General features: G+C 40.6%; 1 protein-coding gene across 2 annotated transcripts in view, besides 2 other annotated features; it reads left to right on the top strand.

Moving 5' to 3' along the window:
* RORA (RAR related orphan receptor A) overlaps nucleotides 1-14,734 on the top strand; it is a 741,019-nt gene that overhangs the window by 416,522 nt on the left and 309,763 nt on the right. The window lies entirely within an intron of this gene.
* Nucleotides 7,088-8,069: an enhancer, noted in NCBI's record as "OCT4-NANOG-H3K27ac hESC enhancer chr15:61096911-61097892 (GRCh37/hg19 assembly coordinates)". NCBI's record gives its function as "activates a minimal SCP1, AML or CMV promoter by ChIP-STARR-seq in primed H9 embryonic stem cells {active_cell/tissue: H9 hESC(primed)}" and the evidence as "EXISTENCE:reporter gene assay evidence [ECO:0000049][PMID:30033119]".
* Nucleotides 7,497-7,791: a silencer, noted in NCBI's record as "tiled region #8359; K562 Repressive non-DNase unmatched - State 22:ReprW". NCBI's record gives its function as "represses a minimal TATA promoter and a strong SV40 promoter by Sharpr-MPRA in K562 cells {active_cell/tissue: K562}" and the evidence as "EXISTENCE:reporter gene assay evidence [ECO:0000049][PMID:27701403]".

The raw sequence follows: 14,734 nt of genomic DNA, 5'->3' as shown, positions 1-14,734 counted from the left end.
GTATTTCTGCTCAAACCTGCTAGGTGCTGAATTTACAGTTGAACTCTCAGACGACACTGCTACTTCTCTTCTATCACAGTGGACAAGGAGGGAGTGTCTCTGGTCTCCTTAAGCCACTTAATACATATTTATTGATGTTATTCCTAAGTCCTTAAAAATATGAGATGACAACATCTACTGAGCTCTTTCTTTGTGCCAGTCACTGGGGAATTTGCTTTCTCCACATATTATTTCATTCACTCTTCTTTATTTATTGATTTATTTATTTTTAGACACAGGGCCTCAGTCTGTTGCCCAGGCTGGAGTGCAGTGGCATGATCATGGCTGACTGCAGCCTTGAACTCCTAGGCTATAGCAATTCTTCCACCTCAGCCTCCTCAGTAGCTAGGACTACAGATACACGCCACTGTGCCTGTCTAATTTTAAAAATATATATATTTGTAGAGATGGGGTCTCAGTATGTTGCTCAGGCTGGTCTCAAACTCCTGGGCTTAAGCATTCCTCCCACCTCATCCTCCCAAAGTAATGGGATTACAGGTGTGAGGCACCGCACCTTGCTTTCATTTAATTTTCACAATAAACTTACAGGTTAAGTACTATTGTTGTTTCCATTTTATAGATGGAGAAATTAAGGCACAGAGTGGTTAAGCAGATTTTCTGGGGTCAAACAAAGGGAAGCAGAGATTCAAATCTAGGTAGTGTGATCAGAGATGCCATGCTTATAAACACGTGATGCTTCCCCACAATGTGCACAGTTCTTAAAAACTAAAGAATGCTACTGCTTGATTCAACTTTGGGATTTTTAATAATTAGAAAACTTTGCCATTTCACCGTTAAAATAATGAATATGAAAATGATTCAACTTGCATAAATAACCTGAGATGGAAAGTTGTTAGCCACCCAAGAGACAGTAAATGAAATTAACACACCTTGGTCCTTGGCTGGCCTTGCACCCACATTGCTTACTGTGGATTAATGATCAAATAGGTATTTGAAAGGTACAGATTATAAATCCATTGGGCAGGACCGGTTCTGCAGAGATGGACTAGTCAGAAATGAGAATTGAGATGTGGGTAATAATAAATGCCATAAAGAAACTGTCAGTTTTCCAGTGGATTAAGATTTCTTTTCAAAGAATGTTTCTGTATTATATCATTGGTCCAAAGTATATTTGACTGTTTTACTATGTTAAACACAGAATGAAGGAGCTTAGACAGAATGGTTAGAGATAGCAGATTAAATACACATGTGTAATTCTATTCTCTCCTCAAAATCCACTAAAATGATTTGTAAAGAGTCTTTTTCAAGAATAACCCACAGACCAAAAAGAATAGTGGAGAATAGATTGGCAACAATATTTTGGGAGCTGGAAAGCAGATGGAATAGAGATAACTGACTTATCAGATACAGGAAAGCTGAATCCCAAGCCAGCAAGGGGGAAAACCCAGATTATCACAGAACCCAGTGCCATGCAGGTTTAAGAACTGATGGCACCAGGTATCTCTGAAAATGAAATCGATGGGCTAAAAATAAGTTGGATGAAAAGTCTGTTGAAATAGCAATTTTATCCTAGATTCACTCTAGGAAATGGTACCATCCCTCTCCTGAGCTAGACAATTATCCTTTGGGTAGTGTGAAACTGAGTGTCTCTGGACTCAGGACAGTGTGCAAACAGTGGGGTTAAGACATAGGTTCATGTATTTAATTGAAGACTCCCTGCTTTCTCTTTCGGACTTGTCTCCCACACAATAGCAGCCAGATGTTTATCTCTAAGCAGCAACTGGAATTTTCTCTGTGGTATCTGACTAGTCTAAGAGGAATAAAAGACCAAAGAAGCTGGCATTGTGGCTCCCCAAGGAAATGGCCTAATCCATTATTCTAACAGTGGATGAACCCCTTTCGTGTACCCAGAAATCACACTCAGCTTTTTAATGCCCCACTCTTAAATTAGAGCAGATAAACAAGAATTACCAGTCATTTAAGGAAAGCATATAATGTGAGATACAGAGAAAGCAGCAAGTTAGAGGAAACAGAAACTACGAAGGGAGGAAAAAAAAAAAACTGGAGGGAAAGGGTGGAATACCCTTGACTTTAAAAAACACAGAAAGATAAGTAGAGATATTGCATTCATGAGCAAAGAACAATGTTCTAAAAAAAGGAATACTCAAAAATAATAATGAGCTGTAATAAATTAAAAATTGAAGAGTAGAAGCAAAAAACGAGAGAAAAATAAGCAGGGGATGGGAAGGGTAAAATAATTCAAAAGGTGATTCAGGAAAATTTCCCAACACTGAAGTTTCTCCTTGAATCTCTCAAATGCCCAGTGTAAGGGGTGAGGTTAGATCTACACTAAGACAGGATCATGAGATTTCAGAACACCAAACACAAGAAGGCCCTTGGTTTCCAAAGAAAAATAGCAGCTTTTGTATAAAAGATCAAGAATTAGACCCATGTTAGATGTCTCAACAGCAACATGGAAACCAGAGGGTGATGAAGCAAGGTTTTCAAAGTCCCAAAGGAAAATTGTTTCCAGTGTAGAATTCTCTATCTAACCAAACTATTAATTAATGTGAGGTTAGAACAAAAACATTTTTAGATATGTGTGGTCTCCAAAATGTTAGCTTACACACACTCTTTCAGGAGACTACTGAAAGATGCACCATCAAACTTGAGGGCATAAACCAAGAAAGACAGGAGGCTCTAAAAAACAAGGAAGCCAACAAAATAGAGAGTGAAGAGAGTCCCCAGGATCATGAGAAAGAGAAATCACAACACAACAGCCTTACAGCAGCCCAGAAACAAAACAATCTAGACTGGAGCAGGTCAGCAGGATCCTGGGGAAATAGCTTCAAGAAGGTGAAACTGATAGAACACCTGATTTGTCTGAATGCATTGAAACTTACATTTGGAGAGTTTGGAGTTGAATAAGAAATAAGTAGAGAGAAAATTAAGCAAGCAAAAAAGTTAATTATTAATGCCAGAAAAAAAAAACATAATATTATACAGAAAAGAGAGAATATTCATTGTATATAACATGCCCCATTGGTGAATAGCATTTACATTGTCATAAAACCAGAAGCACAGAATATTGATCCAACCAAAACTGTGATAAATTGCAATTGGCAGGATGGGGAACAGGAAATGTGCATGTGTGTGGTGGGGGTGGGAGTTCTTGAAAGAAAGCAAAAACCTCATCTTCCGTCGTGGAAGGTCAGTAGATAAAGCCTAAAACAGAAACATCAAAAAGTAGTTACATAAACCTGTTATTTCGAGATATGGAGGTAAATATCAAAAGAATCAGCTAAAGAAGTTGAAAGTGGTTGCCCTTGGCGATAAGAAATATGGGCAGGGACTGTTGGTTTTTCTATAAAGCTTTGTAGAATTATTTGTCTCTTTAACGTGCAGGTACAACTTTAAATAAATGAATTTTGAAAAACACAGAATTGGGATTAACTGTGCACATTGCTGTCAATTGTTGTAGTTCAGGCCACTGGTACCACACAATTTACCAATTCAAGTTTGATATCCACCTGGCCATTTTTAGGATGTGTGGAATATTTATTTATAGAATTTAGAGCTGAAGGACTTTTTACATTTTTTAATTTATTTTTTCAATGGGTTTTGGGGGAACAAGTGGCGTTTGGTTACATGAGTAAGTTCTTTAGTGGTGATTTCTGAGATTTTGGTGCACCCATCACCCGAGCAGTGTACCCTGTACCCAGTGTGTAGTCTTTTATCCGTCGCCACCCCCCAACATTTCCTCTGAGTCTCCAAAGTCCAATGTGTCATTCTTATGCCTTTGTGTCCTCATAGCTTAGCTGCCACATATGAATGAGAACATACGATGTTTGGTTTTCCATTCCTGAGTTACTTCACTTAGAATGATAATCTCCAATTCCTTCCAGGTTGCTGCAAATACCAATTCCTTCCACGTTGCTGCAAACACCATTATTTCATTCCTTTTGTGGCTGAGTAGTATTCCATGGTGTGTGTGTGTATATATACACATAAATTTGTATATATGTTTATAATGTATGTTATAAACATATATATAAATTATGTTTTATATATTATAAACATATATATAACATATATATGTTTATATATTGATGGGCATTTGGGCTGGTTCCATATTTTTGCAATTGTAAAATGTGCCGCTATAAACGTGTGTGTGCAAGTATCTTTTTCATATAATGACTTATTTTCCTCTGCGTAGATACCTAGTGGTAGGATTGCTGGATCAAATGGTAGATCTACCTTTAGTTCTTTAAGAAAACTCCACCCAGTTTTCCATAGTGGTTGTACTAGTTTACATTCCCACCAGCACTGTAAAAGTGTTCCCTTTTCACCACATCAGCACTAACATCTATTTTTTAAATTTTTTTTATTATGTCCATTCTTGCAGGAGTGAAGTGGTATTCCACTGTGGTTTTGATTTGCATTTTCCTGATAATTAGTGATGATGAGCATTTTTCCATATGCTTGTTGGCCATTTGTGTATCTTCTTTTGAGAATTGTCTATTCATGTCCTTAGCCCACTTTTTGATGGGATTGTTTTTTTCTTGCTCATTTGTTTGAGATTCTGGATATTAGTCCTTTGTCAGAAGTATACACTGTGAAGATTTTCTCTCACTCTGTAGATTGTCTGTAAATTCTGCTGATTATTTATTTTGCTGTGCAGAAGCTTTTTAATTTTATTAAGTCCCGTCTATTTATCTTTGTTTTTGTTGCATTTGCTTTTGGGTTCTTGGTCATGAAGTCTTTGCCTAAGCCAATGTCTAGAAGGGTTTTTCTGATGTTATCTTCTAGAATCTTTAGGTTTCAGGTCTTAGATTTAAGTCTTTGATCCATCTTGAGTGGATATTTGTATAAGGTGAAAGATGAGGATCCAGTTTCATTCTCCTACATGTGGCTTGCCAATTATCCCAGCACCATTTGTTGAACAGGGTGTACTTTCTCCACTTTCTGCTTTTGTTTGCTTTGTTGAAGATCAGTTGGCTGTAAGTATTTGGCTTTATTTCTGGGTTCTCTATTCTGTTCCATTGGTCTATGTGCCTATTTTTATACCAAGATCATGCTGTTTTGGTGACTATGGCCGTATAGTATAGTTTGAAGTCAGATAATGTGATGCCTCCAGATTTGTTCTTTTTGCTTAGGCTTGCTTTGGCTATGTGGGCTCTTTTTTGGCTCCATATGAATTTTAAGATTGTTTTTTCTAGTTCTGTGAAGAATGATGGTGATATTTTGATGAGAATTGCATTGAATTTGTAGCTTGCTTTTGGCAGTATGGTCATTTTCACAATGTCGATTCTACCCATCCATGAGCATGGGATATGTTTTCATTTGTTTGTGTCATCTATGATTTCTTTCAGCAGTGTTTTGTAGTTTTCTTGTAGAGGTCTTTCACCTTCTTGGTTAGGTATATTCCTAAGTTTTTGTTTTGTTTTGTTTTGTTTTGTTTGCAGCTATTGTGAAAGTAGTTGAGTTCTTGATTTGATTCTCAGCTTGGTCATTGTTGGTGTATAGCAGGGCTACTGATATGTGTACATTAATTTTGTACCTTGAAACTTTGGTGAATTCATGTATCAGACCTAGAAGCTTTTTGGATGAACCTTTAGGTTTTTCTAGGTACAGGATCATATCATCAGCAAACAGCAACAGTTTGACTTCCTCTTTACCGATTTGGATGCCCTTTCTTTCTTTCTCTTTTCTGATTGCTCTGACTAGGACTTCCAGTACTATGTTGAATAGAAGTGGTAAAAGTGGGCATCCTTGTCTTGTTTCAGTTCTCAGGGGGAATGCTTTAAACTTTTCCCCATTCAGTATAATGTTGGCTGTGGGTTTGTCATAGATGGTTTTTCTTACCTTAAGGTACATTGAATGACTTTTTCTAAATAGACAGGAGCCTCACTACAAAGAAAACTGGCCCAATTTTCTTCCTTTGACACCTTCAAGCCTGCCTTTTTCTCCTTTTTGTCCATAAAAGGTGTTCCAAAAAGGGAGAGGGCATGTGATGGGAAGCAAGAAAGCCATGACTCCAGTTCTAACTCTACTCCTAACCTACTGGTCCTTAACTCACTCAGCATGTTGGTTGTTTCTCCATCTGTAAAATGGGAATAATAATACCCACAGTGCCTACTTTGTAGCATTGTTGCAGGTAATCAAAAGAGAGTGTATAGATAAGGTCCTTTATGAAACTACCAAGTCTTATAGATCCCAGGCATTGCCATTTTTCTCATTACCACTGCAACTCCCTGGGAGAGAAATCAGTACAGGCAATCTAGAAGTTTCCGTTAGTAATACTGATAAGAGTTCTGCGATATTAAAAGAGTGGCATTCCGGAAGGCATGGCAAGAGATGTTTTAACTATTCCATTCTGGTCTGGCCTGATTTAGTCTGCATGTGGCTGCTGTTCATGGGTGGAGCTATAGACACCTTAATACAGAGAAAAACTTATAGTCAGAGTGTGCAGAATTGTGGGTGCTTTTCACTCGGGCACCTTGGCCAGCCAGCTGCTAGAGTATGTATTTTCCTTTGCCCCAAAGTTTTTGTTTTTGTTTTTTTAATCTCCTTGCATTTTTTTCCCGCCTTGGGTTCTTAACAAGAAATCAAAAGCAGGGAGTTATTCTCCTCCTGACAGATCTGACTTTTCTACTGAAAGGAAGAATTTCAAGGCAGCATGTCACTGCCTAAAATGCTTATGAGGGATGCAGTCAGATTGGCCAAGCAATCAAGAGGGAGGCTTTACAAAGCATTGCTAGGCCCCAAAGCCTGCCCAATCTACCCCCTACAGATTCCTGGGACAGAGAGAAGAATTGGTCCTCCGAAGAGGCTCCTGAACACCTGAGATTTAAACTTCTGTGACTTGTGTTGCCAATTTGGTATTGAACATTGTGTAAAGGAAAAGATACCATATTATAGAGCTATAAAAGGGTCTTTGGAAGGCATTGAAATGACCCTCTTAGTTGGCAGAATTGGAAACTGACACCAAGTAATGTGATTTGCCTCATCTGGCCAGTGGCAAAACCAGGACTGGAATCCAAGGCTCTTTTTGCTCAGTTTGCCAGAGAGAGGAGCCTACTGGGCTCTAGAGTGTTCATAGACCTACCATGTAATCCTATATCAATGATACAATATATTATCAGCTAACATGGATTGAGTGCTAACTAGGTGTTAAGTGTTTTACATAAATACTCAGAATCCCAACTACTCTATGTGTTGGGTCCTGTTATTCTATCCTACATATAGGACAACAAGATCAGAGAAGGTAGGTAAGTTTCCCAAGGTTGCACATCCGGTAAGTGCTGGGCTCAAACCCAGTCCCTTCTGACTCCTGACTCCTCCCTTCTGGCTGCCTCCTTCTCCCTGCATTTCCTACATTAAGGTATTTGTGCCTGGGTTTTAATTGTTTGTGGCAACAGTTCTCTTCCCTCTTTCTCTCTGTCTTTCCTATGACTTTGAATTCCCCAGCCCTGTTGGACTGTTGTTTCTGGTTCAAATGACTGACATGGTTTTATTTGGGCTGTTGTCAGAGTGACTGGGTATGGTGAAGTCACCCTCTGGCAGGTGTTCCCTTGCGTGTCAGAGGAGAGTGGCGTCATGGTGAGAGGGGATGGCTGCCTATGGGGTGTGGGAGAGAGCAGCTTGGGACAACTCCAGCTGCAGGTTGGGGAAGTGACTGGCGGAAGCAGTGATTCATCACCCTGGATCCATGGGATTCTCACAATTTTCACGCCTTAAACAAAACTGGTGCATTTAAAAACTGTGTCTGGGAAGCCATTTTCCCTTGATTTACTTGGGCGATGAGGAAATTGTGTTTAAAGCTACACATATAAGAAAGTCAATGACTGCATTACAAAAGAACAATGAACAAATGTGAATTTTAGGTTTCTGGTTTCTTCTATTGAAAGAGAGAGCCTATTATAATTTAAGAGCTATTATCACAGAGTTGTAAAGAGATATTAACTGAGAAAGGATCTCTGAATTTACAATTCAAATATATAAACCCTGGCTAAAATGCAATGAGACTAATTTTTGTGTGTGGCTCTTGAAATCGGTTGTTTAATCTCATACATATGTAATTCTATAGTCACACCCCTCGTTTGTGGAAATTCAAAAATATTTGTAGTCCTTCTTGGCTACCGTTGATCTTAATTACCAATGGAGCTTAAGCAATCAAACTCACTTAGCCACATTTTAAATGGCCCTGATTCACGAACTTGCTCATTTCAGCACTGTGGAAATAGTACTCATTTGGGATTCAGATGGCCCTGGCTTCAGATTCAGATGCTGCCATTCCCTGTGCAATCTTGGACAGGTTACCTCCCTGAGCCTCAGTTTCCTAATTTGTCAAATGAAGAGGATTCGTGTGGGCCTCCAGAAGTTGTTGGGAGCACTAAATGAATTTATTTTATTAAAGAACTATGACATAACAGCTAACACAGAGCAAACATGTGTTAACTAGTAGTTCTTTTTTTTTTTTTTTTTTTTTTTGAGATGGAGTTTGCTCTTGTTGCCCAGGCTGGAGTCCCGTGGTGTGATCTCGGCTAACTGCAACCTCCGCCTCCCGGGTTCAAGCAATTCTCCTGCCTCCGCCTCCCAAGTAGCTGGGATTAGAGGCACCCACCACCACGCCTGGCTAATTTTGTATTTTTAGTAGAGACAAGGTTTCTCCATATTGGTCAGGCTGGTCTCGAACTCCCGACCTCAGGTGATCCGCCACCTTGGCCTCTCAAAGTGTTGGGATTACAGGCATGAGCCACTGCACCTGGCCCTGGTAGTTCATTTTAATGCTGGTGCTAGAAAGTGCTTTGTCTCTTCCTGACATATTTGGAAGAGAGAGACAGTGAAAGAGAGAAAATATAGAGTGGAGATAGAAGGGGAGAATTCCAAATAGAGATTTCCCTGCCGAATGTGTAAGTACCGATTCTCCATATTGTGGGTCAGAAACTTAAGAGTTGTTTCTGTGCCATCTCTTTTTGGGTAACTGGAGAAAATAGGGATATCATGGGGGTTGTAGGTAGTAATAACAGCTGGCTATAGTAATAAACAACTACTTCCTCCTGAGAGAGAGTCACAGAATGCCAGAGAAGGAAGATCTTAGAATTCTTTTACTGCTAGGGAAACTGAGGCCCAGAAAGATGATTTGACAGGGAATTAGCAGCAACGCTAGGCCTCCAACTTGGGACAGCCACTCTGGCATCCCTCCCGCTCTGCAATGCTGCCTTGTGGGCTCTGAACCCACTGCTGTTCAATTCCTTGCCTTTTCTTGGAGCAGCAAAAGCTGACATGCACGTTGCATGCAGGGACCTCCTCTTTAGTCTGGACTTGTTGAGTATTTCCTAATAGGTTGCATCCTTGGGCCACAAACATTAAGAGTCTAAACAAGTGAACTCAAGAGAACTGTTAAGCCCCAGCTCTCTTTTCATCACCTCCATCCCCCTTCCCTGAGTGAAGAATTGCGTAGGTTCTTCCTTGCCTGGACCATTCCCAGCTGGTCCGAAGGGGCCGAAGCTCAGGATGTGCACGTGAAAGGCAAGGTTTCAGCCAACAGGAGTTCTAATTTGAGGCATAAATTAGTGCACACCTGAACAAGTGACATTATCCAAATGATAAATTGCTATAGGCACAGGCCATTGTGTTCCTAAGGGTGATTTATGGCCCAGGTTTGGAAATGAATAGAGAAAGAAATATTTAAATGTAACCATTTAAAAACCAAGCTGTTAGGTTTAGGACTGTCTTCAAAAAATTGAGGCATCTTTCTTTTGTTGGAGTTGTCCATATTAATCAAAATAAAGTGGTATGGCTTTAAATTTTTTTTTTTAAAAAAGAAACAAAACATTTAGGTTTTAAATAGGACATGTAAGGGTTTTCCTTCCTGTTTTATTTTTTCTGGAACACAGAACCCAGAATGAAACCTCCAGGAAACTGTACATACTTTCTTAGGTCTTCTCTCAGTGTCTTATCTTTTGAGGCTAAGCAGTAAATGAAAACCTTAATTGATTTCTTGCCTTATTGAATCTGGGCAAAGATTTTCATCTCTGTAGACATAGAAATATTTGAAAAAGACAACAACAGGTGAATATTATTTCAAAAGTAAAGAGGAGTAAAAGACATAAGCCACCAGGCTCGTGACATGCACATACACACATACACCCCACGTATACACATACACACACATGCCACATACACGCACATAAACACACACACACACATTATGCCTTAAAAGGCAAGGTTCTTCCTTCGGAACATGGAAGCCAGATACTTGAGCTATTTGTCCTTGGCAAAGCTTCTGCAGGGGAAGAGAGAGATGGGCCTCATGAAGTATTTAGGAGAATTCCCACCCAGACAGAGTCACAATGAACAAATGAAATGAGCCTCTTTACAGGACCAATAGCCCTCTGTAAAGCTAGAAATAATGACAAAATACTAATGGCTACCACTTCTTTGGTTCCTACCTGTGCTGTAATGGAGCCCAAACACTCGGTCTGCATATTAACCCATGAGTTGGGAATTGCTATTCACATACGCAGATGAGGAAATTGACCAGAAGGTTGTAACGGTTGACCCATGATCATGTAGCCTGTCCTTGTCAGGGCCCAGGTGCAGAATTGGGTCTGTAAGGATCCAGCACTTGTGTTCTCTCAAATCTTCCCTACTTAACAGTGGTGCCTGTTTTTACCCAACTTCCCACTCCCACCAAGCATTGTACAGTAGCTCTGGGCTCTGGTGCCAGACCATTCATTGCCTAGCAATTAGATCTGGAGCCAGCCACAACCCTCTCTCAGCCATCATTTTCCACATCTATAACATCAGTAATTCATTTCCTACCTAGCTAACGTGGTTGCAATGTCAAATAAAACAAGATGAAATATATGTGAAAACAGCTTCTTACACTGAGATACACCACCATCATCATCATTATCATTTTATATTAACAAATTTTATACCATACAGTTAAGGGATTATTCCACACAAGCCTGCTTGCATCCTCTTAGGAGACTTCTGTAAGCTAAAAAGCCCACGAACAACCACAAAGCTCATCTGAAACCGTGAGTTTTCTTTGTGGGGTCTGCTCACAGATTCCACACCGTGGCGTGCCTCTCCCGGGCTTTCAGGCGGCTGCACTGGGGGCATTTGAGGCCAGAGAGCTTCATGTCTTTATAACATTATGCATTAAAGTCATCTGTAAAATGCAGAGACATTCCAAATAGCCCTTATGTTTTTTATTTTTTCATCTTGGCATGGGGATACAGAGCAATTTTCCAGAATGTTTTAAATAGGAAAAAAACGCTCATTCTCAAGACAGCCGTTCTGTATTCCTGAGCCTCTGGGTCATATTCACATTCAGAAATATCTAAGCCACTAAAGTCTGTGTTTCTTTAAATGGGCTGTTTCTTTATTAAAACAAATGAAGGCAGCATTCGTTCCTTATATAATATTCTTACCTCTGAGCCCTGTGGGCAGGGAGGGTGTGGAAACCTGGGATAAAGCTGTCGAAGGAGGGGGGAGGGGGAGGCCACTACTTAGAGAATGTTTTCTGTAATTCCTAATTGAACCTTTCCACCCAAGTTCACCAGGTGTTTTCACGAATTTTACCTAGTGGTGAGGTGATTAAATGCTTCAATAGGGTCTGCGCCAAGTAAGGGCTGTTCCTAAGGGTTGGCAGTAGTGTGCCACTCTATTTTGTGGTCTGCCTTTGGTAATAACTCTTTATACTTTATAGATTACATTTCCAGTTTAAAAGTCCCTTCACGTCTAGTTTTTCAGTGGTTCACTTTAATAGGCATGCAGCAATCAATCGCTGTGTGCCAAGCACTGCAGAAAGTATTGGGAATGCAGGCTCAACGTGGCCCCTGCCCTTGAGAGGGTCACAGAGGGACAGAGGAGTGACCAAATCGATAAGAACTAACTGCAGCCCAACATAGTAAATGCTGGAGTTGAGACAGGAAGGACCTGGGGAAAGACCTGCATGCTGAGGGAGCAGGCCTCTTCCCAAAGAGGTGGGGGCGGCATATGAACTGGGTCCTGGAGGATAAATAGGAGTTTGGGGGGCTGGGAGGTAGATGCTGTGTGGGGTAGACAGAGGAGGTGCTATAATAGTTACTGGTCTATAGCCAGGACACTCGGGCTCAGGGAAAGTCTCTCGCCCCCTGAGTTCACCAAGAGGAGGCTGCTATAAGGGACTGCTCTCTGCTAGCCTGGTGGCCCTCCTCTCACAGTGCTGTCCCAGCCTTCAAGAAGGTTCTCTTTTTAACATCAAAGGAAGAAACGATGTGAAATCTTCACCTCTTCCTTGTGGGTTTATAAGGTTGATACTTTCCACCAGAGCTGAGTCAGAGACGCTGTTACCAAAACGAAATTTTGTTTTAAATTAGTCTTCCTGGCATTTCCTTCTCTGCTTCATAACTGAATCCCAGGGCATGTCATCCTGTTGTGGAGAAGAACTTACAGAGGGGTTTGTCATGATTAGGGCCAGAGAGGTGTTGGAAATGATTGAATTAAGTGGAACAGCGTGTCATTCTTCTTTTGTTTATTTAACAAGTATTTGTATCAGTAGTGTGCTGGGAAATGTTTAACTCTACAGAAGTTGTTCTACTGAGCAAGGAAGGAAAAAAAAAGCCCTGATGTCTAAGTTTGCCAATTTCTGTGGTGTAAATACTCTCACCGTAGCCAGTTTTGGGCAACCAACGTGAGGGTGGCTGAATACGAGGTTGGGAGGAGAGGCAGACTTGGTGTAGCACATGGCTGCAGGCCCAGGAGATAGACAAGTGAATAACACAGCCCTGGCTGCAGCCCTCTATAGGAAACAGAGCCAGAGACAATTTTTTAATTTGATCTTAGCAATATTTCTGTTATTATTTTGAAGAGATAGAGGCACTGAGAGACAGAAACAGAGAGCAAGACAAAGACTGATCCATTCCTATCTACATATCTTGATAAATTCTGAAATGCTTCAGCCATTTGTCTCTTCCTGTGCCCCTCCCTCGTTATCTACCTCTCTGCTATTGCAGTCTCTGGGACATGGGTGTTTAGAAGAACATCAGATTGCAGGGGAAAGTAAGACAAAGAAAAATAAATGATTTTGATTTTTCAGTGCATCTTGGCATGTAGCATGTGATATACTTAGTATCTTGGTGGTGGGATTTTTCGGCATCTGAACTTGTTTACCTTAGTGACTCATCTCCCCCGCAATGTTTTTGGACCAATGCAGTTTATAAATTAATTAAATAAATAAATATGAATCGATCAGAAGAGGAGCTATTGTGTTTTGAGTGGATGTGTATCAACATCTAACTCTTATAAAGACGTGCCAGACAGCAACAGCCAGTGCTTGGGCCCCATGAAGTGTCTCGACTCCATATTGTAATGTTTCAGGCTAGCCATAAAAAGGAAACTGCTTACAAAGTCTAATTGAGAGGACGCCAAGAAGGCCCCCAGACCCCAAGTGAATTCCTCATCAGTCTGTCACCTTTGCTGAAACATCACTGTTGGTTTATAGCGGTTCCCCCTTGCTAACTGATTCCCATGAAAACTTTGCTATTATTGAACACTGACACCTTAAGATAAATTAGTTTATTGGATAACTTACAGAAGAATAGTTAGCTGCAAGTAGCTTTCAAAGAGAGATAGAGAGTCTGAGTGTAGTTCCAGAGACCAGCACGAGGGCACGGAGGCCTGAGGTATTGGGATCCTGGGGTAGGTTAAAGGGAAGGTCCCTGCCCTCTCACTGAGGACACAGCTATATGTCAGCCCTCTCGGCATGACTCAAGGTTCTCATTGTGAGCATGAATAATCAGCCCACGCCATAATACACTGTCCTTGAGTTTAAAAAAAAAAAAAAAAGTCCTTTATTGAGCAATAACTAGATGCCTTTGTTAGCTCATTATATAACTTATCCCATTTTCACAAAGTCCCTGTAAGTTACACATGCTTGCCTCCACTTTAGAGTGGGGATATATCATTCCTTTTTAGAAGGAAATTAGGGGTCAGAGAGGGGAAGTAACTTACCCAATATTGCACAGCTAATAAGTAGCAAGGTCTGGCTTTCAGACCTGGATCTGTCTGATACTTAAGCCTGTGTCCCCTCCCCGCTACCATGCTGCCTGTTAGGGTGAGAGGGTTTGCTGGCACTTCCCATGGCTCCAGGCTTGGGATGGTGCCATTTTTTTGGTGACTTCTGCTTGCCTTTAGTCCTCTCTGTTCTTCCCACTCTGGTGGTGAATACTTGCTTCTTGCTTAGGGTACCTTGCTGCAGTGCTCCCTGTCTCCTCTTCCAATGAGCTAGTGCTCAGGAACCAGACAACTAAGCATGTTATTTCTAAAATAAGAGTCCATGGATTCTAAGTAGAGTCCTAAGGTTTCTCCAAGTTCAGTACTTGATTCCTGAGACAAATCTTGAACAAGCTTTTTAAACTCATTTTTGAATGCTTTGCTACTTTCTAAATAAATTATGAAGTATATTTCATAGGTAAAATATTCCATACATATTTTGTAAGTACACTGCAGGTGGTGTGTGTGTGTGTGTGTGTGTGTGTGTGTGTGTGTGTGTGTGTGTGTCTGTTGGGGAAATGAAGGGGAAGGGGTGGAGGAAAGCTTCTGAGCTCATTTCATTGTTTGGGGCTCACACATTAATTAAGTTTTTTTTTCTCATGTATAATAATTAATTTAGTGACTATTGCCAGACGGAAACTTTTGAAATATGTGTCTCCTTAATGCCAGAGTTCAAGCTCAA

The sequence above is a fragment of the Homo sapiens genome, chromosome 15 (assembly GCF_000001405.40).
Source record: "Homo sapiens chromosome 15, GRCh38.p14 Primary Assembly".
In the NCBI taxonomy this organism is placed as follows: domain Eukaryota; kingdom Metazoa; phylum Chordata; class Mammalia; order Primates; family Hominidae; genus Homo; species Homo sapiens.
Note: the sequence above shows the minus strand (reverse complement) of the source record. Positions and strands in the feature narration are given on the sequence as shown.